This window comes from Homo sapiens, chromosome 20 (assembly GCF_000001405.40).
Source record: "Homo sapiens chromosome 20, GRCh38.p14 Primary Assembly".
Lineage (NCBI taxonomy): Eukaryota > Metazoa > Chordata > Mammalia > Primates > Hominidae > Homo > Homo sapiens.
The window spans coordinates 13122543-13144529 of NC_000020.11; the positions used below are offsets into that span (position 1 = coordinate 13122543).

At 42.3% G+C, this 21987-nt stretch overlaps 2 protein-coding genes across 7 annotated transcripts in view; one reads left to right on the forward strand and one right to left on the reverse strand.

The window, feature by feature from the left end:
* SPTLC3 (serine palmitoyltransferase long chain base subunit 3) overlaps positions 1 to 21987 on the forward strand; it is a 160132-nt gene that overhangs the window by 113571 nt on the left and 24574 nt on the right. For all 6 annotated transcript variants that reach the window (NM_018327.4, NM_001349945.2, XM_011529279.2 and 3 more), the window contains one exon: positions 4049 to 4175. In NM_018327.4, coding sequence (NP_060797.2) covers positions 4049 to 4175 — 127 coding nt within the window. Of the gene's footprint in view, positions 1 to 4048; positions 4176 to 21987 lie in introns of those variants that run through there.
* The window catches only part of TASP1 (taspase 1), a 534161-nt gene that overhangs the window by 17771 nt on the left and 494403 nt on the right, over positions 1 to 21987 (reverse strand). The gene's annotated exons all lie outside the window — the stretch shown is intronic.

Sequence of the window (21987 nt, forward strand, 5' to 3'; positions counted from 1 at the left end):
TTCTACCACCTTTTGGGAATAATTGTGTAAACTTTTCTGTGATTCAGTTGTTCTGTCTATAAAATGGGAATTAAAACAGTACCTACCTTAAAGAGTTATTGTGAAATTTAAATGTATTAATGCATACAAAGTTCTTAAAATGGAACCTCAGGCCACCAGGGAATATCAGCTATGCTGTTAGCTTCTAGCCTTATTATCTCTTCAGGGTCATTCAACCTGTCATCAAGCCTGGGTACTCCCTTATTGAAAATGTCTCTCTTTTCCTTTCTTTTCACTCCTACTGCCACCCCTCCCCATAAGGATGGAGGAAGAGTTAGGCTGAAAATCCTTGGTTTGATGTATGGGTCTACCAATGCGTAGTCACACAACCTTAGAATGTAACCCTGTGCAAAATGAGAGAGTTGAAACAGAGACACTCCAAGAAGCTTTTATATTTTGGTCCCTTCCTCCCGCCCCATGCTCCCAGTTCTAAGAATCTTTCAATTGGCCATTGATTAACAATACTCGGCCAGGCGTGGTGGCTCATGCCTGTAATCACAGCACTTTGGGAGGCCAAGGCCGGCGGATTACCAGAGGTCAGGAGTTCGAGACCAGCCTGGCCAACATGGTGAAACCCCATCTCTACTAAAAATACAAAAATTAGCCAGGAGTGGTGGCACACGCCTGTATTCCCAGCTACTCGGGAGGCTGAAGCAGGAGAATTGCTGGAGCCCAGGAGACGAAGGTTGCAGTGAGCCAAGGTCATGCCACTGCACTCCAGCCTGGCCGACAGAGCAAGACTCTGTCTAAAAAAAAAAAAAGTCACCAACTGCATCAGGTATTCACTGTTTCACTGTGTACCAGATGCTTTTCTAAGCATCCCATATATGTATTCACCCATTTCATCCTCATAAACTCCGAGGTAAGTATTACTATGATCTAATTTTTCAGAGAAGCCAACTAAGGCACAGAGAGATTTAGTAACTGGCCCATGGTCACACGGCAGTAAGTGGCAAAGCCAGGATTTGAATCTAAGCTATTGGGCATCAGAGGCTGCACTGTAACTCCTGCGTTATATTCCCTCCAAGGGGACAGTTCCTCATCCCCTTGTCTCAGAAGCACTGGCTTCTCCCTCTCTTCCCAATTGACACCTCCATTCTATGCCCATAAGATGCCATCCTTATTCCTAATTTTAGGACAGGCCCATGCCTTTTTGCTCCTCTGCATCTATCCAAATCTCCCCATCCCTCATGGCCAGATCACACCCTTGAAACACCTTGTTCCTGACACAGGTCCACGTAAGCCTCCATCATCCAATTCCCAGGACCCACCCACCCACTCCTCATTGGCTTCCCCAGCATCCTGTAGGGAGATATTCACTCTCAATAGAGAAAGGCAATCCCTGCTGCTGCTCCTCAGGAGCACGGAACATGCCACTGTGAAGGACAGCCCTGGCTGTGGCTACTCTGGCAAATGACTGCTGCTGTCTCTTTGAGGCACCTCAGATACTCCAAAGTGAACTTTCCGGATACCCTGTGGCTGATGAATTCAGTCAGGCCAGCATCATGCACATACTCTTCAGATATGGGGAAAACCCACCCAGCTTTTTTCATGAGGCTCACCAAATAAAAGAATCATCAGAAACTTAATTTCATTTATATAAATGGATAATGGATGCCAGGGACTAGCCTTATGGTCCCTTTCTATCCTCCCTCCCCTCCTGGACTCCCACACATGTCTAGGACAGAGAAGGTTATTGGTATATACTTGCTGGAAGGAAAGATGGAAGGGGGGAGGGGGAGAAGAAAAGAGGAAAGAAGGAAGGAAGGGAGGAAGGGAAGAAGGGAGGGAGGAAGGAAGGAAGGAAATACTTTGAAATACAGAGAAGAAACAGATTTAAATAAAGAATTTGAAATGAAAAGAGAGAGAACTAGAGTAGAAGGGAAGGGGAAGGAAGGAAGCTAGAAGGAAAGGAAGAAACAAAAAAACAAAGGGAATAGTTTGAAGTGAAGGAGAAGATGGAAAAAGGAAGTCATAGAAGAAGGACGGGTGAAAGGGGGGGATTCAGAATGAAAGACATATTGAAGACAGCAGGAAGAACAGAACACATCCCTTGGTTCCCCTCATGGACCAGGCAGAGTCATCACATCATTAATCTAACCTTCACCGACCACTGTAAGGCAGGCCACACACTGTGCTGAGGAAGAGAAACTGTGAATGTTGAAAATGCTTGTGAGCAACAATGCCCACACATACCTAAGAGAGATGGAAAAGTGATGGGCAGGGACCAGGCCCAGGCTCGGAAGTGGGAATGAATGTGACTAATGAAGGAGGGTGAGGAGGACATGAACCTACCCCAAAGCAGAGGATCTCGATTCCCAAGAGCTCTTTCCAAATCACCTTCATGAGGAAGGAAGACATAGCGAAGACACCTGCCTAAGTGGGATTCTGAGCTGTGCCGTTATTCTAAAGAGAAGGCATCTGATCCTTTAAAGACCCCACTGCTAATGCAGAGGCCTGTCATCAGCCCATTAGCTTTTCTGCAGGACACTTGGAGAGTCCCAGGCCATGAGACACTGTATAGGTGGGCTGATGGAGGGTCTCTGCCACCCAACTGAGCACCTGCAGATGCCAGCTCTGAGGCCCTCACCACTGCGGCATTAGATTACTGGAGCTTCTTAGGGCTTTCAGCAAGCTTACTTGGGACCTTATATTTGGCCTCAGGAGTCAGGCATACAGGTGAAAAATGGCTCCTACCACTGAAAACCAGCATTCTGGAGTGGCTCAGCATTCCAAAGAGTGTTACACAAAACACAAAATTCCAATAGTTCTCTGCTGCCAAAGGCATAACCAGAGTTTATCTGGTCCTAATATTCTGGTTTAATTTCCCACAAGCCTCTACTCAAACTGTCCTTTGCTGTCCTCCAAACATGCTGCCTCCATTCGTTTTTGCTGTGTAACAAACCACCCCCAAATTTGGTGTCTAAAAACACCACCATTTATTTAGCTTAAAACTCTGCCCATCAACAATGTGGGCTGGGCTCAGCTAAGGAGTTCTTTTGGTCTCATCTGGGCTTGCTTCTGTACAACAGTCCATTGTTGAGTCAGCAGGGCACTGCTTGGCCTGGGGTAGCTTCAGCTGGAATGGTCCTTCTCTGTTCCACATGGTTGTCATCCTCCAGCAAGCTAGCTCAGGCTTATTCACATAGCAGCTGGAGAGAGTTCTGAGAGGACAAAAGCACTCAAGGCATTTTGAGGCATAGACCCAGAACCACCACACCATCACCTCTGCCATATATTACTGAACAAAGAAAATCACAAGGCCAGCCCAGATTAATCCGCCTTTTGATGGAAGCAACTGCGAAGTTGGATTGCAAAGATGCATGGGTACAGACAGTGAGAGAATTACAGCTATTTTTGTAAACACTGCTATACATGCCTTCTGCTTTCTTGCTTCTGTTCCTTTGTTCAACTTCTCTCTTCTGCCACCCTCCCTCCACGTTTTCTTTTCCCCCTTAATTATCTTCATTCTTCAAGGCCTAATCATATCTCCTCATTGGAACCTTCTCTAACTACTTCAGCTAGAAGGACCCTCTCTCTTTCCTCTGCATCTTGCAGGCCTGTTGCATGTCCTAGTTTGCATGGACTGTGACTTATTCTACCATGCTTGTTCATGGGCACAATCATATGTAATATTCTCAAGGGCAAGGACCACATCCTGTATTCTTTGGGCACTGAACACAAAGTCAGTGCTCACACATAGTAGGTACTCAACAAATGCTTCAGGAATCATTTTTTCTTCACACATCTGGTTTTGCCTTAAAGTTCAACTCCAAACCTGCAGCATCCTGCTTTGCTGTAGATTCTAGGTTTTTGAGGGAGAGACTATGAAGGAAATAGAAAAAATAAATAGTTTGATGAAAACCATTGAAAGTTGGACCCCATTCATCTTTTGAGCATGAGATCAAATGTCTTTTGCTATGAGGATAGGGATGGGACTAGATGTAATTCCCACCACCAGTGTTGAGATTTATTTGCCTTCTTTTTGGGTTTCCCCTCTTTATTTAAGGACCTCGTGGATTATTTACGGGTTCACTCGCATAGTGCTGTTTATGCTTCATCCATGAGCCCACCGATAGCAGAGCAAATCATCAGATCACTAAAACTTATCATGGGACTGGATGGGACCACTCAAGGTAAGAGGATCTGCAGAGAGCACAGCTCCTGGACCTCTCTGTCTCCCTTCTGCCTCATTAATCTCCCCGCTTCTCAAATACACACCTTTATCTTATAGAACCCTATTTGTAAATCAAGCCATGTGATAAATGCACAAAACTGCCGTTAGCACACCATACAAAAACCCTTTGTTAAAGCAAAGAAAACTTTCTAATTTACCTCATTGTGAACAGCAAATTTCGATAATTTTGTGTGATCAATTCTGTTGAAATTAAGCAAATATTGTTTGTGTGCGTGTGTGTGCGCGCACGTGAGCGTGCACATGTTTGCCTGTGCTTGCTTGGGGCTGTCACTTGTGTTTCCCTAAGACCAAAGTAGCCAATTTAATATCCAATTTTTCAATCCTTTTATTTTTTATAGCCAGAGGTTGGACAGTGGAAGGCCACCACTGGCCATTGAGGATATATAGACAAAACACACACAATAAGCTTCCAGCCATTTCTTTGTCAGTGGGACCAGAGCTAAACTGTGCTACTTTGCTCAACCCAAATTAATCCTCTTTTTGAAAAATTGTTTCATAAAAGCCTCTTGGAACTCTCCCTCCATCTTGCAGAGATGGTTTATACAGATTCTACCACATGTCACACACCAGAGGGGATACGGTGCTGAATAAGGCAGTTCTTGCTGCCAGGCAAACTGGTGAGCACATTTATGGAAGTAGCAATTTATCCTGGCCACTGGACTGTACAATCTATGTGCCTCACCCCACCTCCCAGCTGACCTGAAGTCCTACATTGTTTAATGCAATGCTTCAAGCCTGCTATTTCAGTAGAAGTATGGGGTACTCCATCAGTTTTCAATATTATTAAAGCAGCAGAATATTCACATACAAATTTTGCTAGAAGCCTACTATATAAAACAGATAAGAACAAGGCTGATCTAGTTAAAGTAGTGTCTTCACTTACCCCCATACTGATACCCCCTGGGGCCCTTCTACTGAGCCCTAGTGCTCCCCAAGACACTTGTTTGAAAGACAAGACTTTTTCTTTTTCACTAAAGCAGGGTAAAGGCCTGCAGGAGGATATTTTTTCCTCCATATGAAATGCGGTGATTGGCTGATCTCTAGGATCCCTTCCAGGCTTGCCTTTTCGGTGTTATGACTCTGCATCCTATTGGTTGGTCTTTGTGAAAAGAAAACGACAGTCCAGTCTAGGAAGCCCTTATGGTATGAGACTGAAGGTAGCTGCCTGAATCTGCTCCTGTGATACTATTCACTCGTATGTGGCCTTAGATGAGTGACTTATCTATTCAACCCTGAGCAAGTTACTCAACTTCTCTGTACTTCAATTCATCCAGTTATGAAGTGAGAAAAACAATATTTATGAGCCAAGGTTTTTGTGAGAAGTAGGCAAATTAATCTGTACAAAATATTTAACATTGTGTCTGGAGACAAGTATCAGTAAGCATTGTATAATTGCTTGCTACTATTATTTGCTGTTGTTTCTGAGGTGATCGACAAGTATTTGAAGCATTTCTCAGAGATGCTGTAGGAAGCATCCTTATGACAGAAGTGAAGTAGGACTAGATGTCCTCTAAGATCCTGGATTAGTCAGGATAAGGGAGGTTTTGCCACCATAACAAATAAACCCTGTAGATCTCAGTGGCTTAACAGAACCAAGGTATTTCTTGTTTGCATCACATCTAATACCAATCAGTCAACTCTCTACACAGTGCTTGTCCTTGAAGACAGTGACTCAGGCTGCTTTCACCTTAAGGGTTCATCATCTCAACACATGGCCCCCATGGTTACCAAGGTAAAAAGAAAGAGAGGGTCAGCCTAGAGGTGACTCTTATCACCTTGCTTACAATTATTGGCTAAAACTAGTCATATGGCCACACCCCTGAAAAGAGGTAGGGGTAAATTAAGGGATACAGACATTGGATAAACAGGTACCTTTTATTTTGGAGGGGGAGGAGGTTCTTTTTTGTTTTTTGGGTTTTTTTAAAATTTGAGACAGAGTCTTGCTCTGTCACCCAGGCTGAAGGGCAGTGACATGATCTTGGCTCACTACAACCTCCACCTCCCAGACTCAAGTGATTCTCCTGCCTTAGCCTCCTGAGTAGTCAGGACTACAGGTGTGCACCAACAGGCATGCACCACCATGCCCAGCTAATTTTTTTTTTTTTTTTTTTTTGGAGACAGAGTTTCGCTCTTGTCACCCAAGCTGGAGTACAATGGTGCGATCTCAGCTCACTGCAACCTCCGCCTCCTGGGTTCAAGCAATACTCCTGCCTCAGCCTCCCGAGTAGCTGGGATTACAGGTGTCCCCCACCATGCCTGGCTATTTTTGTATTTTTAGTAGAGATGGGGTCTCGCCAGATTGGTCTCAAACTCCTGACCTCGGGTGATCTGCCTGCCTCGGCCTCCCAAAGCACTGGGATTACAGGCACGAGCCACCACACCTGGCCAATTTTTGTATTTGTAGTCGAGACGGGGTTTCACCACGTTGGCCATGCTGGTCGGGAACACCTGGCCTCAAGTGATTTGCCCACCCCAGGCTCCTAAAGTGCTGGGATTACAGGCGTGAGCCACTGTGCCTGTCTTAAACAGGTATCTTTTAACCTTTTAACATTGAAGCGAGATAGAGTGGCATCTTTTCCTCCACAAGCTTTCTGCTGTATGAAAAACTGTTCTGGAACTACTGGCTTCCCACAAAGCCATATTAATTCTCTTCTTAAACTTCAAGTGTTTCTTAATGGAAAATCAATTATTTGAGATTTAAGCAAAAATGCAAGTTAACTGAATTGTCTCAGAATGACTAGAATTATTCTTTGGTCTTGTTTTAAAGACAAGTGACTAGGAAAAAGTTATTCTAGAAATTAGCTTGTGTCTCAACAAAAATTTTCACTCATTTCCGGAGTCCTTTGGTCTATATGTCATCCGAATCAGTTGCTTTACATGTATGCAACTTTGCAATCATGTCCTTCCCTCCTCCGATTGGTTCATCACAGACAAAACTTGCTCTATTGATCTGATCACAGTGGAAGATCTGCAGAAAGATTACATTAAAGACATGAGCATTTGCTCCTCAGTAATCATCTGCCATCAATTTTTCTTCCCCTGAGGTAGTAGATATTTCCCTTGCTTCTCTCTCTTAGCCTTATACCTAAAGAATTCTTTGGTTACTTTTTTAACCTCAGTTTTAAAGCTTCTCACTTTACTCCTCTTGTCATCTTAAGAGAGAAAAAAAAAACAGAGAATGCTATGTGTATGGTCTGGTTTTTTTAGAGGCAAAATAGGAGAATGAGGGAGAAATATAGGACAGTTTATTTTCAAAGAAACAAAGGAAAGTAGAAGAAAAAGAAAATTGACAGAATTATCAGCCAAGTTTCAGGTAGTTCTGCCTGACACATCTTTTGAAGCAGTGAAAGTCATACAGTGAATGATCACACTGGCCTCATTTGCAACAATGGCTGCTTTAAATCAAATGAGCAGGACAGGTTAGGAATATTGCATTAGCTCACCCCTTTCTGCAGAGATAGACTCACTCTCAGGGTAAAGTTGCCCAGAGCTCAAAGGATGCACTGTTTCATGCAAGAGCTGCCTTACAGGATCTGAGAAAGAGAAGCCGGGCTCTGAGCCTTCATCTTCAGCCCACTCCACTACAACTGTGATTGGAGCCTTTCAAGGCTTTGTTTCAGGTTGAGTTTGGGGAGCAGTTGGCCAGATCTGTTCCTTGATGAATGTCTTCACTTTAATCTGCAATGCAAAGCCATACGCTTCAAAGAAAGGCAAGCTACAGGAATAAGGTCAGTGTTCCTTTGATGCCAAGGTTCAAAGATGAAATAGCAGTCCCAGTGAAATGACAATGTTTATGCACAAACAGCCACCTTCACTCTGCAGCCAGGCTGCTTGTGGAGTTAATGCACACAGGCTGAGGGGCTGCAGGCCGTGCATGCATTCCATATGCACCAAGACCCTTTTAATCTCCTGGTCTGTCACTCTGAGGAGTGCAGTGAGCCCAAAAGTGGAGATTTGATTTCTCCATCCTAATGGATGCTGGGTGGTCTTCCAGCCAAGCCAATGTTGTAAGCCCCTTAAGGGCAAGAAATGTGTCTTGAATTATTCTGGTGTTCCTCTGAGTGTCAAACTCAGTGCTCAGCTTAATAAATATGTCATGACTCAACTTCCCTCTTGCCAGCCTGCTCCATTTCAGGCCAATGTTTATGCTAAATAAGATCATGAGGATGTTTATCTCATAGGACTGGGAGCTGGGAATTGGTTCCACACCAGTTGTGGCAGCGGAAGGGATCACTCAGTGATTGAAGTTACTTTTGGAAAGGTCTAGAAAGATCGCAGCTCAGTCGTTTTCTTATCTAGACATAGCACACATAGCCTCAGGAAGGTGAGCCCCAAACCACACCGACTCCCCTGAGAAAGCATTGTCAAAAATCATCTTATTACTCATGTTTAAATCTTCGATGTATATTTTTCAAGTAATCAATCAACATTTTTTGAACTCCCAGTCTTGATCTTACCTTACTACACCTTCTTTCCCCAACTCTGGGTAAAATTCCATTTCTCAGAGAAGATAGAGTTTGTATGATGTGGCTAATTCACAGTGTGCTCTGCAGTGGTGCCCGGCCTGACATCTGCTCCATGAATGGCAAGTCACTTTCCCTCTCTTGGCCTTAGTTCCTTCATTGCAAATTAAAGGTTGTCAGAAGAATTAAGTGATGTGATACAGATAAGGAACTTAGCATGATGCTTGATACACACTAAACACTCAATAAAGTCATAGTACTTTCAACACATCTGCTTTATTCCCTTACTTCTGCAAATTTTCCAATAGCTTTACCCACCCTGGAGTTCTCCCTTTTTCCCCAAACTCACATCTTCCTACTCTATTAGCAACTCCCACACACTCTACTTGACATATATTCAGAATCAGGTCACTTCTCACACAGCCAACACTCTCTCTATCACCTCTCACCTGGATTCCTGGAGTAGCCTCCTGAATATTCTCCCCACTTTTGCTCTTGCCTTTTTATGGCTTCTTCTCCATGCAGAAGCCAAAATTATCTTTTTTAAAAAGGAGAAGAAAAACTAACTCATACCATGTCACTTCCCCACTGAGAACTTTCTGTCGTCTTTTCAGCTTACTCAGCAGAGTCCAGACTGTGGTCTTCACAGCTTCTCAGGATGTGGTCCTCCATATACCCTGCCACCCCTCCCCTCGCTCAGCCTACTACAGGCAGCTGGCATCCTTGCTTTTCCTAAAACACAGAGAGCAGCTCCCACAGAAGGGTCTTTGCACTTGCTGGTCCCTCTAAAACTGCTCTTCTGACCTATCGGCATAGCCCACTCCCTCCCTGCCATCCCCTTTCTGCTGAAAATCTGCCTTATTAGGGAATTGGCCCTATCCTAAATAGCAAATCCTCCTGTCCCTCTAATTCTCCTCACCTTGCTTTAATTTTTTTTTTTTTTTTTTTTTTTGACATGGAGTCTCACTCTGTCACCCAGGCTGGAGTGCAGTGGTGCCATCTCGGCTCACTGCAACCTCCACCTCTCGGGCTCAAGTGACTCTTGTGCCTCAGCCTCCTGAGTAGCTGGGACTACAGGAACCCACCGCCACGCCCAGCTAATTTTTGTATTTTTAGTAGAGACAGGGTTTCACCATGTTGGCCGGGCTGATCTTGAGCTCCCGACCTCAAGTAGTCCACCCACCTCGGCCTCCCAAAGTACTGGGATTACAGGCGTGAGGACCGCACCCAGCCGCTTTAATCTTTACAGCATTTATGAATACCTGAGAAATTGTATATGTATCTGCTTATTATCTGTTTGCCCTCACTAAAAGGTAAACTCCAGGAGAACAAGCACTTTGCCTATTTTATTTATTACACTGAAAACAGTGTCTGGCAAGTATAGGTTTCCAAAAATATTTATTGAAAGAATTCTTCTCGCTATCCCTCTTACCTCAGCAAATAAACAGCTCTGATCTCTTTTACATCTCTGTGCTTGATTCTTTCCCTTTCCATCTTCTAAAGACACCAGCCTCTTTTCACAAACTTGCACTTGTTGGTTTCTCTCATCCTAAAAAGACTTTCCTTGCCCCTTCTTTTTCCAACAGCCACCGAGCCTCAACCCATCCATTGCAGCAGATCTCAAAAGAGTGAGCTATTCCGCTGGCTTCCCATCTACCCTTCTCATGAAGTTTCCAGCCCCTGCAGCCTGTCCCCCGCCTGTCCTCTGCCTCCTTGCTCCATGGATCCTGCTCCCTCTAAAGCCACTCCTGTAAGCACACTCCCCTGCTTCTCTGCCAGATTAAACTTGATCTCTCTGCATCATTCTCTCTCTTTGAAAACAGCCTTCAAAGACTGTCTTCGTTGTAGAGATGCTCTTCTCTTCTGGTTTTTCTCTTATTTTTCTATTTGTTCTTCCTCTCTTTTCTGCCAGGCCTCTTTCCCTATCACTATTTGCCCTAATCCCACACTCTGTTCTTTTTATAGTTCCCGCTGCACAAGTACCCTCACCTGTTTCCTTTCCAAAACAGCTTGCGGACCCTCTACCCCCAGAGATTTCTGCATGACATGCTTGCTGCATTCTAACAAGCCCCAGGTGCTGCTGCTAGTCCAGGGACCAGCCTTTGAGAATCACTGCTGCATAATGACCCTGTAGTCACTCTTTCCCTCCCATCAGACATTAATGGCTTGTGGATTTCTTGTAGATAGAAACCATTAAATCTCCATAACAGGTCGGGCATGGTGGCTCACACCTGTAATCCCAGCACTTTGGGAGGCTGTGGTGAGTGGATCACTTGAGGTCAGGAGTTCGAGACCAACCTGGCCAACAAGGCAAAACCCCGTCTCTACTAAAAATACAAAAATTAGCTGGGCATGGTGGCACAAACCTGTAATCCCAGCTACTCTGGAGACTGAGGCAAGAGAATCGCTTGAGCCCAGGAGGCGGAGGCTGCAGTGAGCTGAGTTAAGGGGTAGCACCAGAGCTGAGAGGCCAAAGAAGAGACCCTGAGCCAGCAGACGAGATATGGGGTTTATTTAGGGGAACTTACGTACAGGGATGGTCCAGTGATTGTAGGCTGGACAGGAGAACTGCCACCACTTGTAAAAAGCATGTAGTTCATGTAGCATTTTCACTTAACATCCTTTCCCTAACAACCCCCACCTGGCAACCTTTATTCAACCTTTACTCAGCCTTTATTCAAAGGGCCTCAATCCCCTGTATGACAAGCATCCCACTGGACAAGCTGGGTACTCAGATGTTCCTCATAGGTAAGGAATGAATCTCCAGGTTGGCCACGCTCAAACTGTGAACACACATTCAGGTGTGTCTGCCATACAGGGTCATTCTCAGGAAATGCTTAAACTGTCACGGTCAGGTGTACGTACCATGCACAGGTGCAGCTACCATATAACAATCCACACAGTTCCTGACACATCATAGGCCTTCAATACATACTTTCCAGTTGAATTGGAAAGAAATGTGTTAAGTCTCAGTTATGTCGTGATGCAGATGCTCACAAAATATCTGTTTAGGGCCATCTTTTCATCAAAAGAATTGTATCTCCGAATACTTAACATCAGCAATCTGAGTAAATAAACTTGCTCATCAAGGACAACTTCTTTCTTATAATTCTTGTCTGCAGGCATGTCTAATTTTACTCATTATGCCTATCTGCTTATGATAGAGTCACTGATGTTGGGGAAAGTTCCCCCGCATGTCCCCAGTCATCATTTCATATTTCATGATGATGGGAGTGCCAGACAGAAGGGAGAGAGTGATTACAAGGTCATCATACAGCAGTGGTTCTCAAAGAGTGGTCCCTGGACCACCAGCAGCAATGTTACCTGGGGCTTGTTAGAACTGCAACAAAGCATTTCTGAATCAGCTGTTTTAACCATTCCTCCAGGAGATTCTGGTGCAGGCTCAAATTTGATAACCATGTTTCTACGTAACAGAAAAGAAACAGATCTGTGCAGTGGGAGAAGTAAAGTGAACAGAGGATGGAATTCTGGCAGATGCAAACAAAGGTAAAGGACCTAGCAAAAAAAAAGAAAAAAGGAGGAAGAAGAGCAGGCAGAAGAATAAGAAAAAGCCCGAAAGAGAAAAGCATGAAATGTGTTTGGATCCATTTCTTTAAATCTGTGTTTAAACCAAAACATCAACGCTGCCCTCTCAGTTACTACTAGCACCTTGCCTGTCCTTCAGTCCCCATGACCACTTTGGCATCAGGAATAGGAAAGGGAGTTTTGCTTATGAAATGCATGTGCCTCACAACAGTCACTCCCTAAGCCTGTGCTTTCACATAACTTTTTGAAGTATGTAAAGTCATTAAGAGTTCATGGTCACAACATTCATTTTATTGTTTGATTTGATAGTAGACATCTGACAGAGATACTGCCATTTCTCCAATAACTGCTATCCCTTAGGATAAATAGGGTAGCATTTATAATAATTATTTAAATTGTCTCTTCAGTGTATCTTCAATGGGTAGGATCAATTTGATGAAAGGAAATCCACAATGGGCAACACTGCTAGGTGTTGATTTATCATAGGATGACTCATGACAAAATATTCCATATTCCTAACTCAGAAAGAATGGTCTCTCCTATAATTATGTGGGATCTACTTAACTCATGCTATAACAGTCACCCTCCATTTGACTGCTGATCTTCCTCCCATGATCGTTACAATTTTGATGACATGGTGTTGAAATGAAATTGGCACTTTTTTGAAAAAAGATGATCTGCTTAACCTGATGCATCTAGTGAATATTAGATATTAAGATTCTTGTTATATTTTCAATTTCATGTCAGCTGTTTCATGAAACAGCAACTATATATCTTACCAAGCACTTACTTTGCCTACTGGCTACTGTGTAGTTTTTAGATCTACGGGCCCACTTATCTGAAGATCTAAACGTTTAAATATTTTAGAATTTTTGTGTAACATTAAGTCTTTCAAAATACAACACTTAACCAGAGACAGGAAAGTTGGAACGATTCTAGCTATATGAACAGGCCAGTACTTAAATTTGGATTACTCCATTGACGAGTTCATTTCTAATTTCACCAAAATGGCTATAAGAAAAATCATAATGTCTCTGACTTAATCAATTCTCTCTCAGCTATTACCTCAGTGCCAGGCTGGTGGGATAATCACCAACTTTCTGAATCACAAAACCACATTTTGTATCACATGGATGAAAACGTGATTCATTTATAATCAAGTGACCAGTAATGTCGGAAAGGGAAACAGTAATGGAAATTTACTTACAAGAGAAAAGGTATACAGAATTTCAATTACTAATGTGTAATATCTGATTTCAGTAGAATACACCTGCATCATTGTTAATAACACCTAAACTTAAATGATAAATTTAGGAAAAATGAAATTCTCTATTTTTCTTCAAAGTCACACATGTCCCTCTCTGCCCTTAAACTGAAGGAGTTTCTGGGTGGTAAGGCAGGGGAGGGGACAATGTGTCTGGAAGAAAAGGAAGGAGAAAACTAAAGATAAAATTAAGATGGAATAATGACTTGTGTTCTTCCTGGAAAACAATAGCTATTTAAGATCCTCAGAAATAGAGGAATTTGGCCAGGTGTGGTGGCTCACACCTGTAATTCCAGCACTTTGCGAGGCCAAGGCAGGTGGATCACCCGAGCTCAGAAATTCGAGACCAGCCTGGGCAACATGGCAAAACCCTGTCTCTACCAAAACATACAAAAAAATTAGATGGCGGTGGTGGCAGACACCTGTGGTCCCAGCTACTCGGGAGGAAGTGGTGGGAGGATCACTTGACCCTAGGAGGCAGAAGTTGCAGTGAGATTAAATCGAACCACTGCACTCCAGCCTGGGCAACAGAGTGAGACCTCATCTAAAAACATATATATATATATAATATACATATAAAAATTATATACATGTATATATAAATAAAAGTTATATATTATATACTTATATAGTATATAAATAAAAGTTATATATATTTATATATAATATATAAATAAAAGTTATATATATAATATATAGGGAGAGAGGAATTTGGCAGGAAGAAATAACAATGCAATATTTTCTCTTTTTAATGTTATGTTTTCTCAATATAGTATTCAGGGATTATTGCTGCAAAAAAGGTCATAAATAGTTACTCTGTTACTATTATCCTTCTTTAATTATCTTAGATATTATCAATTAAACAGATACTATCCAGATAACTACTTCAATTCTCTACTTTCCATAGGAAGAAAAAGCTTAACAAGCCTATCATAGAATGGAAATCCAGGTTTTGATGAGCTTTTTTAAGAAAGCCAATAAGAGAAGGATGGGGAAATTGAGTCTGCAAATTAGAGCTAAGTCCCCCAATCATTGTGCTGGTACAAGAAGTTCCTCTTCAATCTGGGCTTCCTTTACCCTTTAAAAACTAATTGCTATCAGACCAAGACCTGAGGAGGAAATATTCAATAGAAATGCTCCCTAGCAGAGGGCCTCCTCACAATAAATCTTTCTGAGGTTTTAGTTCTTGGATGAGTTGGGAAGTACTCAAAGCTTTCCATCTGTGGGGAAGTTGTTGCCTTGGCTGTAGAATTCTACTTGCACGTTACACACTGCCTTTAGCAGGGTTGGGGAATGAAGGCTTTCAGCTAATGGGATGCTCCTCTTTTCCTTTGGGTTTTGGCCTCTGGGAGAAGGCTCTCCATTCTTGAACTGCAGAAGTGATGGATTTTTTATTCATATTTGGTTAAATTATGGTGTTATAATATATATATTAATATATTTGGCTATATAGTGTTATATTTTATGATGATATTCCCTATTCTAAAATTAAAACTGAGTGTTCTGTTCCTTCATTGTGAAGTCCCTGTTTCTGCTGAGAACATCAGAGAGGCTAAAGATGACAATTTGGTTTCTATGCCCTGGGAAAGAAAGCATATATTCTGTTCATTGAAGTAGTTCAGATCATGTTTAAAAACATAGATAAGTAAACAGCTGTTGCTGATTAAATTGTTCTTATCCTCACAAACGAAGGGAATCTCTCTACAAAATTAAAGAAAGCAATCCAGGCCTTCCGTGATTTCCCAGAGACTTGCAGACTGGGCAACAGCTAATCCTCTCATATTTCCCTCATATTTGCCCCTTCACCACACAGACCTTCCTGGCTCCTGACTCCAAACATAGGTCCCCCTGAGCTTTCTGCTACTCAAGCTCATCTCCCAGAACAGGTGCAGAGCCAAAACTTGAGACAAAGGAAATCTGGACTCAGAACAGCTTGGGGATTCAGGCTGGAGTGACCCTTCTAGTTCTTGCCACCAACCCAGGGAGACCTTCCCTAAACATCCTTTCTAAAATATTGTCCCCTTTCCTGTGAGTTACTCAGTCCACCCCCACAGTCAGTATCATTTTCTTCATAGCACTTATTACCTCCTTGAATATGAATTTTCTTTCTGGGTTGATACCTGTTTTTGCCAGGAGAATACAAGTGCCATGAGGGCAGAGACACTGTCCCCAAACTGAAGTAGTACATGTTGGCTGAATAAATGACCCATTCAGCATCAGCTTTGGCCACATCTCCTCAACTATTCTGCAGGCAGCTTTTCCTCTATCTGGAAGGCTCTCATCCCTCCCCACAATACACTACCCCCATTCATTATCTCCTGAGCCCCTGGCCATCCTTCTAAGCCCTATCTTGATGGCCCCAGTCAGAAAATTATTCTTCCTTCCTTCAGTCCCTTGCGGTTTTTACTTCTATTATGTTAGTCACACACACCCCTAACCCAGCCCTCCAAATAGGTAGTGATTAGTTATTTAATTGCACCTTAAGCATCAAATACGTGAGTGAATGGGCACCGAACACTATACTTGGGACTAAGCAGATTTTCTGACAAGCTTGGGATCTAGTCACCATTTATAAACAATTAGAATGTTATTTCTTTGGAGGTTACTTATAGAATTATTTTAGTTCAAATACTGCTGTCATAACTACTTCATGGATGGGTGCATGCATAGGTCAAACTCTATAGCCTCTTTCCCATTCTTTTGATAAATGCATGGTTTTATATAACATACACTAGGGATTTGTCTAGACACCATCAGATATGGAGGTGAGCTGAGCATGCTGGATAATTCAAGCCAATGCTACTTAAATAGCAGAAGCAAAAATGGAGTTTTTCCTTTAATTATCAAGCAGTTAGTTGAATCTCTCACTTAAAGTTTCCTATAGGAGACACAATCTGAAACTCAAAAGTGTATTTGACTTTTTCATACACAGTAATCAGCAGGCACTGGGCAACAGCTAATCCTCTCTATCCAAGTTGAGTACATTTCTAAAATAGAGGAGGGTAGCGTGATTCTTAAGCATCCAAAATGACATTTTCCATCCTCCCTCCTTCTCCTCCTCCATCTTAATAATGATTTGCACTTAGGATGTTTTTCAATCAAGAAACTATGTTTTTGTGACATTACTTGGTGACTAGTAACAAGAGGTTGAGAAACTAAAACTCCCACAGAAAAATTTGGGTTTCTTTTTACAGACAATGAAAGATAAAGGGGTATTGGGATTTTGAGTCTTTGAAAATTTTCCATAGTATCCTTCTTTGTGGGGTTGGTATTAGTTAAGTTATGTTACTTGTTGTAACAGACAAATGCCAACAAAACTGTGGCTTAACACAATAGAAATTCATTTTTTCCTAACATAAAGTCCAAAATTGGTGTTTCTGTTGGGCAAGACAGTTCTCTTCCAAGAACCCAGCCTCCTTCCATTTTGTAGCTCCTCCAGCTTCAATGTACGGTTTCCAAAGTTGCTGACAAAGGGGTAAGAAGCATGAAGGATTGTGCCTTTTTCAGGCACATTTTCAAGGGCCATGGCTGGAAAGGCACATTGCATTTCTGCCCACATTCCATTGTTTGTAACTCAGTCACATGACTTTGCCTAACCACAAAGGAACCTGGGTAATGGAGTTAACTATGTGCCTAGGAGAGGAAATGAGTTTGGTGAGTAAGAACCAGACTTTGCCACAGTACTTAACCTCCACCCAGGACATTCTTTCCTCCGACTTTCTGATTCTTTCCAAATGCTCTCCTATTTTCTTCATAAATAAACTCTTGACCCGGAATAGAATAAAAGTATCTAAGAACAAAAGAAAAATAAAGTCTAAAGGACTGAATATGGATCTCTCCTCCTTTTTTAGGGACTCTCGGGTCTACTAGTCTGGCTTTTACCACAACTACTTCTAGTTTCTTTTTCACAGAACTCATTCCTAGCACATGGCAGGTGTTGCTATCATTGCTGTGATTCTGTTGCTCAGTTCCCAAAGCTGTGTACTTTCTGGAAGCAGAAAATAGACCCTGAAGATAATAATTCCTCAGAAGAAATTAAAATGACATAAAATTGGAGTAGCTCTGGAAGTCATGCCAGAGGAGGGGAGAATGTATATTTTGGAAATAGTAGCATACAGACATTAAGGACTTTTTTTCTTTGAAGAGGGGATGTGATGAGACAGAAAATGGCATCATTATCAGAAAATTAAAAATTGCAATTTAAAAACATGAACTGATTAGGCTAATTCTTTGAATTGAATGAGTTTGAGTGCACCCCAGTCACTCACTCAGCTCTCCTTGGGTACTTTTGGGACCATAGACGAAAAGGAAGCTAATAAATTTGAACAGGCAGCAAACCTCTGATGTTCATCACATTGGCACCCAGCCCTTGAGTAACTAAGGTAACCAGGCACGAGACTGAATTCTGAGCCCAGGTAGAGAAATAAAACTAGAGACTTCCTATCAGGATGGAGCTAATATTAGAATATGATTCCGATTAACATCACTTGCATTTTATCTACTTTTGAAAGCCCTAAAATCTGTTTGCTTCTGTTATGTCTAGATGGGCAAGTTCACACCAGATAATTCATTCTACAGCATATCTACAGGATTAAAAAAACAGCTCTAAAGCTTAAATTTCTATTTTTTATTCAGTTATTAGGAGAAAAAAGTTGATTAAAATGTCAAGGTCTTTTAAGTAACTATTAATTTTTGAATTTCAATCATTTTTATTTACCTTCTGCAGAGAAAAGATAAAGGAAAAAAGAGTGACACTTATAATGTATGTGCACTGAAAATACAACCATGCCTCTTTGTTAAATCACTTTGTGCGAATTATTTCATTTACTCTGATTATTTGTGAAATTTTATCATGAGATTGCCAGGTGAGGTACTGACCCTGCCTCTAACCCAATGTGGACTGGGAGAAAGTGGCACCAGCCCCTTCCAGCTGTGACCTACAACCTTTGCTCTGGTCCCTGCAACAAGGCACACATATTTTTACACTTGAGTTTGATAGGTTTAAAAAAAACAGGGACTAAGTGGGAAGATTTAGGGCATTGAGGGGGGAAAGAAAGGAGTACACTGGGTGATAGAAATTAGCTCTTAAGAGAGGAATTTTCTCTTTCCTACTGTTTATTTTTGACATGAGATACATTCACAAACTTCTCTCATAAGACATTGATTGTCTTCAGTGCAAACTGTTGGGAGCTGCAAGCTACACTATCCATTCACATCCTCAAACTTATCTTGTGGCTGTTATTGCAGATTTACTCCTCACTCAAATTCTGTCTCTTCTCTAGGGAAGAGGGAATGAAAAGCAAAGAGGAAAAGGACTGTGGTGCGGGTGATAAAACCATGATAATTCACACTTGGTTTAAAAAAAATCTTCTCACATTTCTCAGTGTCTACCTTGGAAGAGTGTTCACTGAATACAAAACTGGTTTCCTACAGCCTTTTTTCTCTCCATCCAACTCAGCCAGGACATGGTGTTTGCTCCATTTTTCTAAGGTCCCTCAATGAAAACAAGAGGCATCTACAAAAAATTCCGCCCAAAATGTACTGTCTGAGGGCCCCGGCATTCAAGGCCCTTGGCATTGTTGACAGAGGAGCTAGCTTCTGATTTCTAAATACATTTGCCACTTGGTTGCCAGCTGGAGAGACCGAAAGAGGCTGAGGGCATGGAGAGCTGCATTTTCTAAATGGTTTCAGGCCCCTGGCATTTCAGCAATAGGTAATACAAAACAGATGTTGGTGCTATGCTCCACTGGCTTTCAACTGAGGGCCTGCCTCAGTCCATGATTAATCACCTGTGCTGGGGGGCAAAAAAGTTCTACCTGGTCTTTTTGTGTGTGTGGACCTAAGGTCAGGGTTAGCAATCAAGGTGACAGACATTGCCTCTCTGCCTTGCTGTTGCTGCTTACCTACATGTGTGACAACTTGGGTTTGTCCAATAAATGCAAAATTAGCCAACAAACTGAACTCTAGTTAAGAGGGAAAGTTTGCCTGGTTGTGCAGAAATAGCTAGCAAACTGTTCCAGAACCTTCTGCCCCTTCATTTACTTTATCCAAAGAGTTAGCCAAGGGTAGACTTTTATGAAAGCTCAGTAAATTCTGCAGTTGATTTGAGTCTTTAAAAAATTTCCCTAGAAAGAATGTAAAGAGAATCTGTGTGTCTTTTAGATGGCACTGGGGCAAAAGATAGTGCAGCCACTTCCTTCCAGCCGTCCCACAAACAAGATATCCTTTTACATGAGCCCTACTGGAGCATCCTCTTCACATTTGCTTCCTCTGTGTGGTTGGACCCTGAGATGGGGGAGTGGTGATGTAATACATATGGAATTCCATGTTGGTTCAGTACAAGTGGGAAAGGAAAGAACATTATTCCATCTGTAGCATCTTCCAGGGTAAAGGGGAACTGGTATTCCACACTGGCCTTTGTTTTTCCTTCCTACAGCTGGGGAGGATTAGGCAGGTGGATTTGTGCCTGAGGAATCCCAGTGTGTGGGTCTGGGCTAGAGAGATTGTATTTGCTTTCTATTTCTACATTACGAATTACCACAAACTTAGTGACCATTGAATATATCAGTTTCCTTGGGTCAGGAGTCTGGGCACAGTGTATTCTCTGCTCAGGTTCTCATAATGCTGAAATCAAGGTGTCAGCAGCTGCTGTTTTATCTGGAGCTCAGGCACCTCCTCCAAGCTCACATGGCTGTGCCAGAATCCAGTCTTTTGGGGCTGTAGGACTGAGATCCCATTTCCTCTCTGGCTGTCAATGGGAACACTCTCAGCTTCTGGTGGCTGTTTCCGTCTCATGAGGGCCCCTCCATCTTCAAAGCCAGCAACGGAGAGTCTCCCTCACATCAAATACCCCGCCTCTCTCTCTCTCTTTGAATCTCTTTTAAAACTTCAGAGATGTTCACCTGTAGCTAAGACCTAATCAGGGCTCTCTTAATTAGGACTTCATTACTGGTGAACATCTCTGAAGTTTTGTGCCCTTTGTAAAATAGGAGGACTTTATGTAGTTAAATTCTCTGTGATCATCTGCTTCAACTTGAGCACTGAGAATGAAATTATTCTGATAAACATGTAATTCTTAAAAATAGGAATATATGGAGGACATGTCTTGGGCACCAAAAAGACCAAGAAGGAGACCGGGATGGCCAGGTTGGCTGTAGGTGCCGCAGGTCAGTTATGTAGACAAGAGGGACCCAGTTTTAGAGAGCAAATCCAAGTCAGTGAGTCCAGTCTTTGGTTCAAATTAATAGTTTTCAATATTTGTGAACCATAGAATTTTTCAAATAAATGTGTATGAAAGTATATATATATATTCTGTAGCACTCAAGTTATGTCAGACACCCTACTAACTGCTTAATATTTAATCCTCATAACAGTATGCAGTGGGCATTATTATTATTATCCTTGTCATGATTCCCATTTTACAATGAAGAATCCAGGTCTCAGAAAGAGGAAGTACCTTGCCCAAGATGGTAGAGTTTACTTTGAACCCAGCAAATTGGCTTCATACTGTTTGAGTGCTTGGCTGAGAAGTCATTGTCCTGGGCACAAGGCAAAAGTCTGGGGGGCTTCCCCATCAATTTTTCCCCATACCCTCCTCCCTGAGGCCTGTTCAGTGCATCCTACCCTAGCAAAGCTCTGGAAACCAAAAGGTTTTAATTCTGCAGGCAGCTGCCTTGGATGGGGCTTCCTGGTGGCCACCTTCATTTGCACGGTTTCTCAGAGCCCTTTCAAGGAACCACATTAACACAATTACTCAGCCTAGTATCTGTCTTTTGCCAATTCCTTTGTCTTCTTGCCACAAATTGGAACAGTTGTCGACACAGCTCCTCGCCCATTTCAGACATTTGCTGCCACCTTGGCTTCCTGACTAGTCTTGCTACCTCCAGCTTTTCCCTCATCCTGATCCATGCACTATACACTATGAGCTTTGTCTTCCTAACCCCCTCAGAGCATGTCATGTTTACTTACAATGCTTCCAGGGCTCTCTAATACCCATCAAAAAATTGTGACTCTCAAGGTGGCATTTTTAGCTTATGATGATCTAACTCTACTGATCTTTCCCATGACTGGAATCCAAACATTCTAGGCAAGTACTCATCCCTTTCCTCCCCATCCCCAAACTTGTGTCCACAAGATGTTAAGTTACCATCTCTAGGTCTCCTTCAAACTCTCAGAGCACTTCTTTTATTGGGCACTTGATTTTCTATCTTGTTGTGATTAATTTTTCTAGTTTATAAGACCCTTGAAAATAGTGGACACACTGATATTTTAATCTTCCACTGAACACAACAGCCACTTACAAATAATAGGTACTAAGTAAGTAGATGCTGAATCAATCATCCTCCCAGAAGTCCTGAGAAATAGATGTAGTAGCTATTACTATCATCCCCATTTAACAGATCAGTAAATTGAGGCTCAGAGATGATGAGTGACTTGCTCATCTCTATAGATATAGAGGCAGATAGAACCTAACGCAC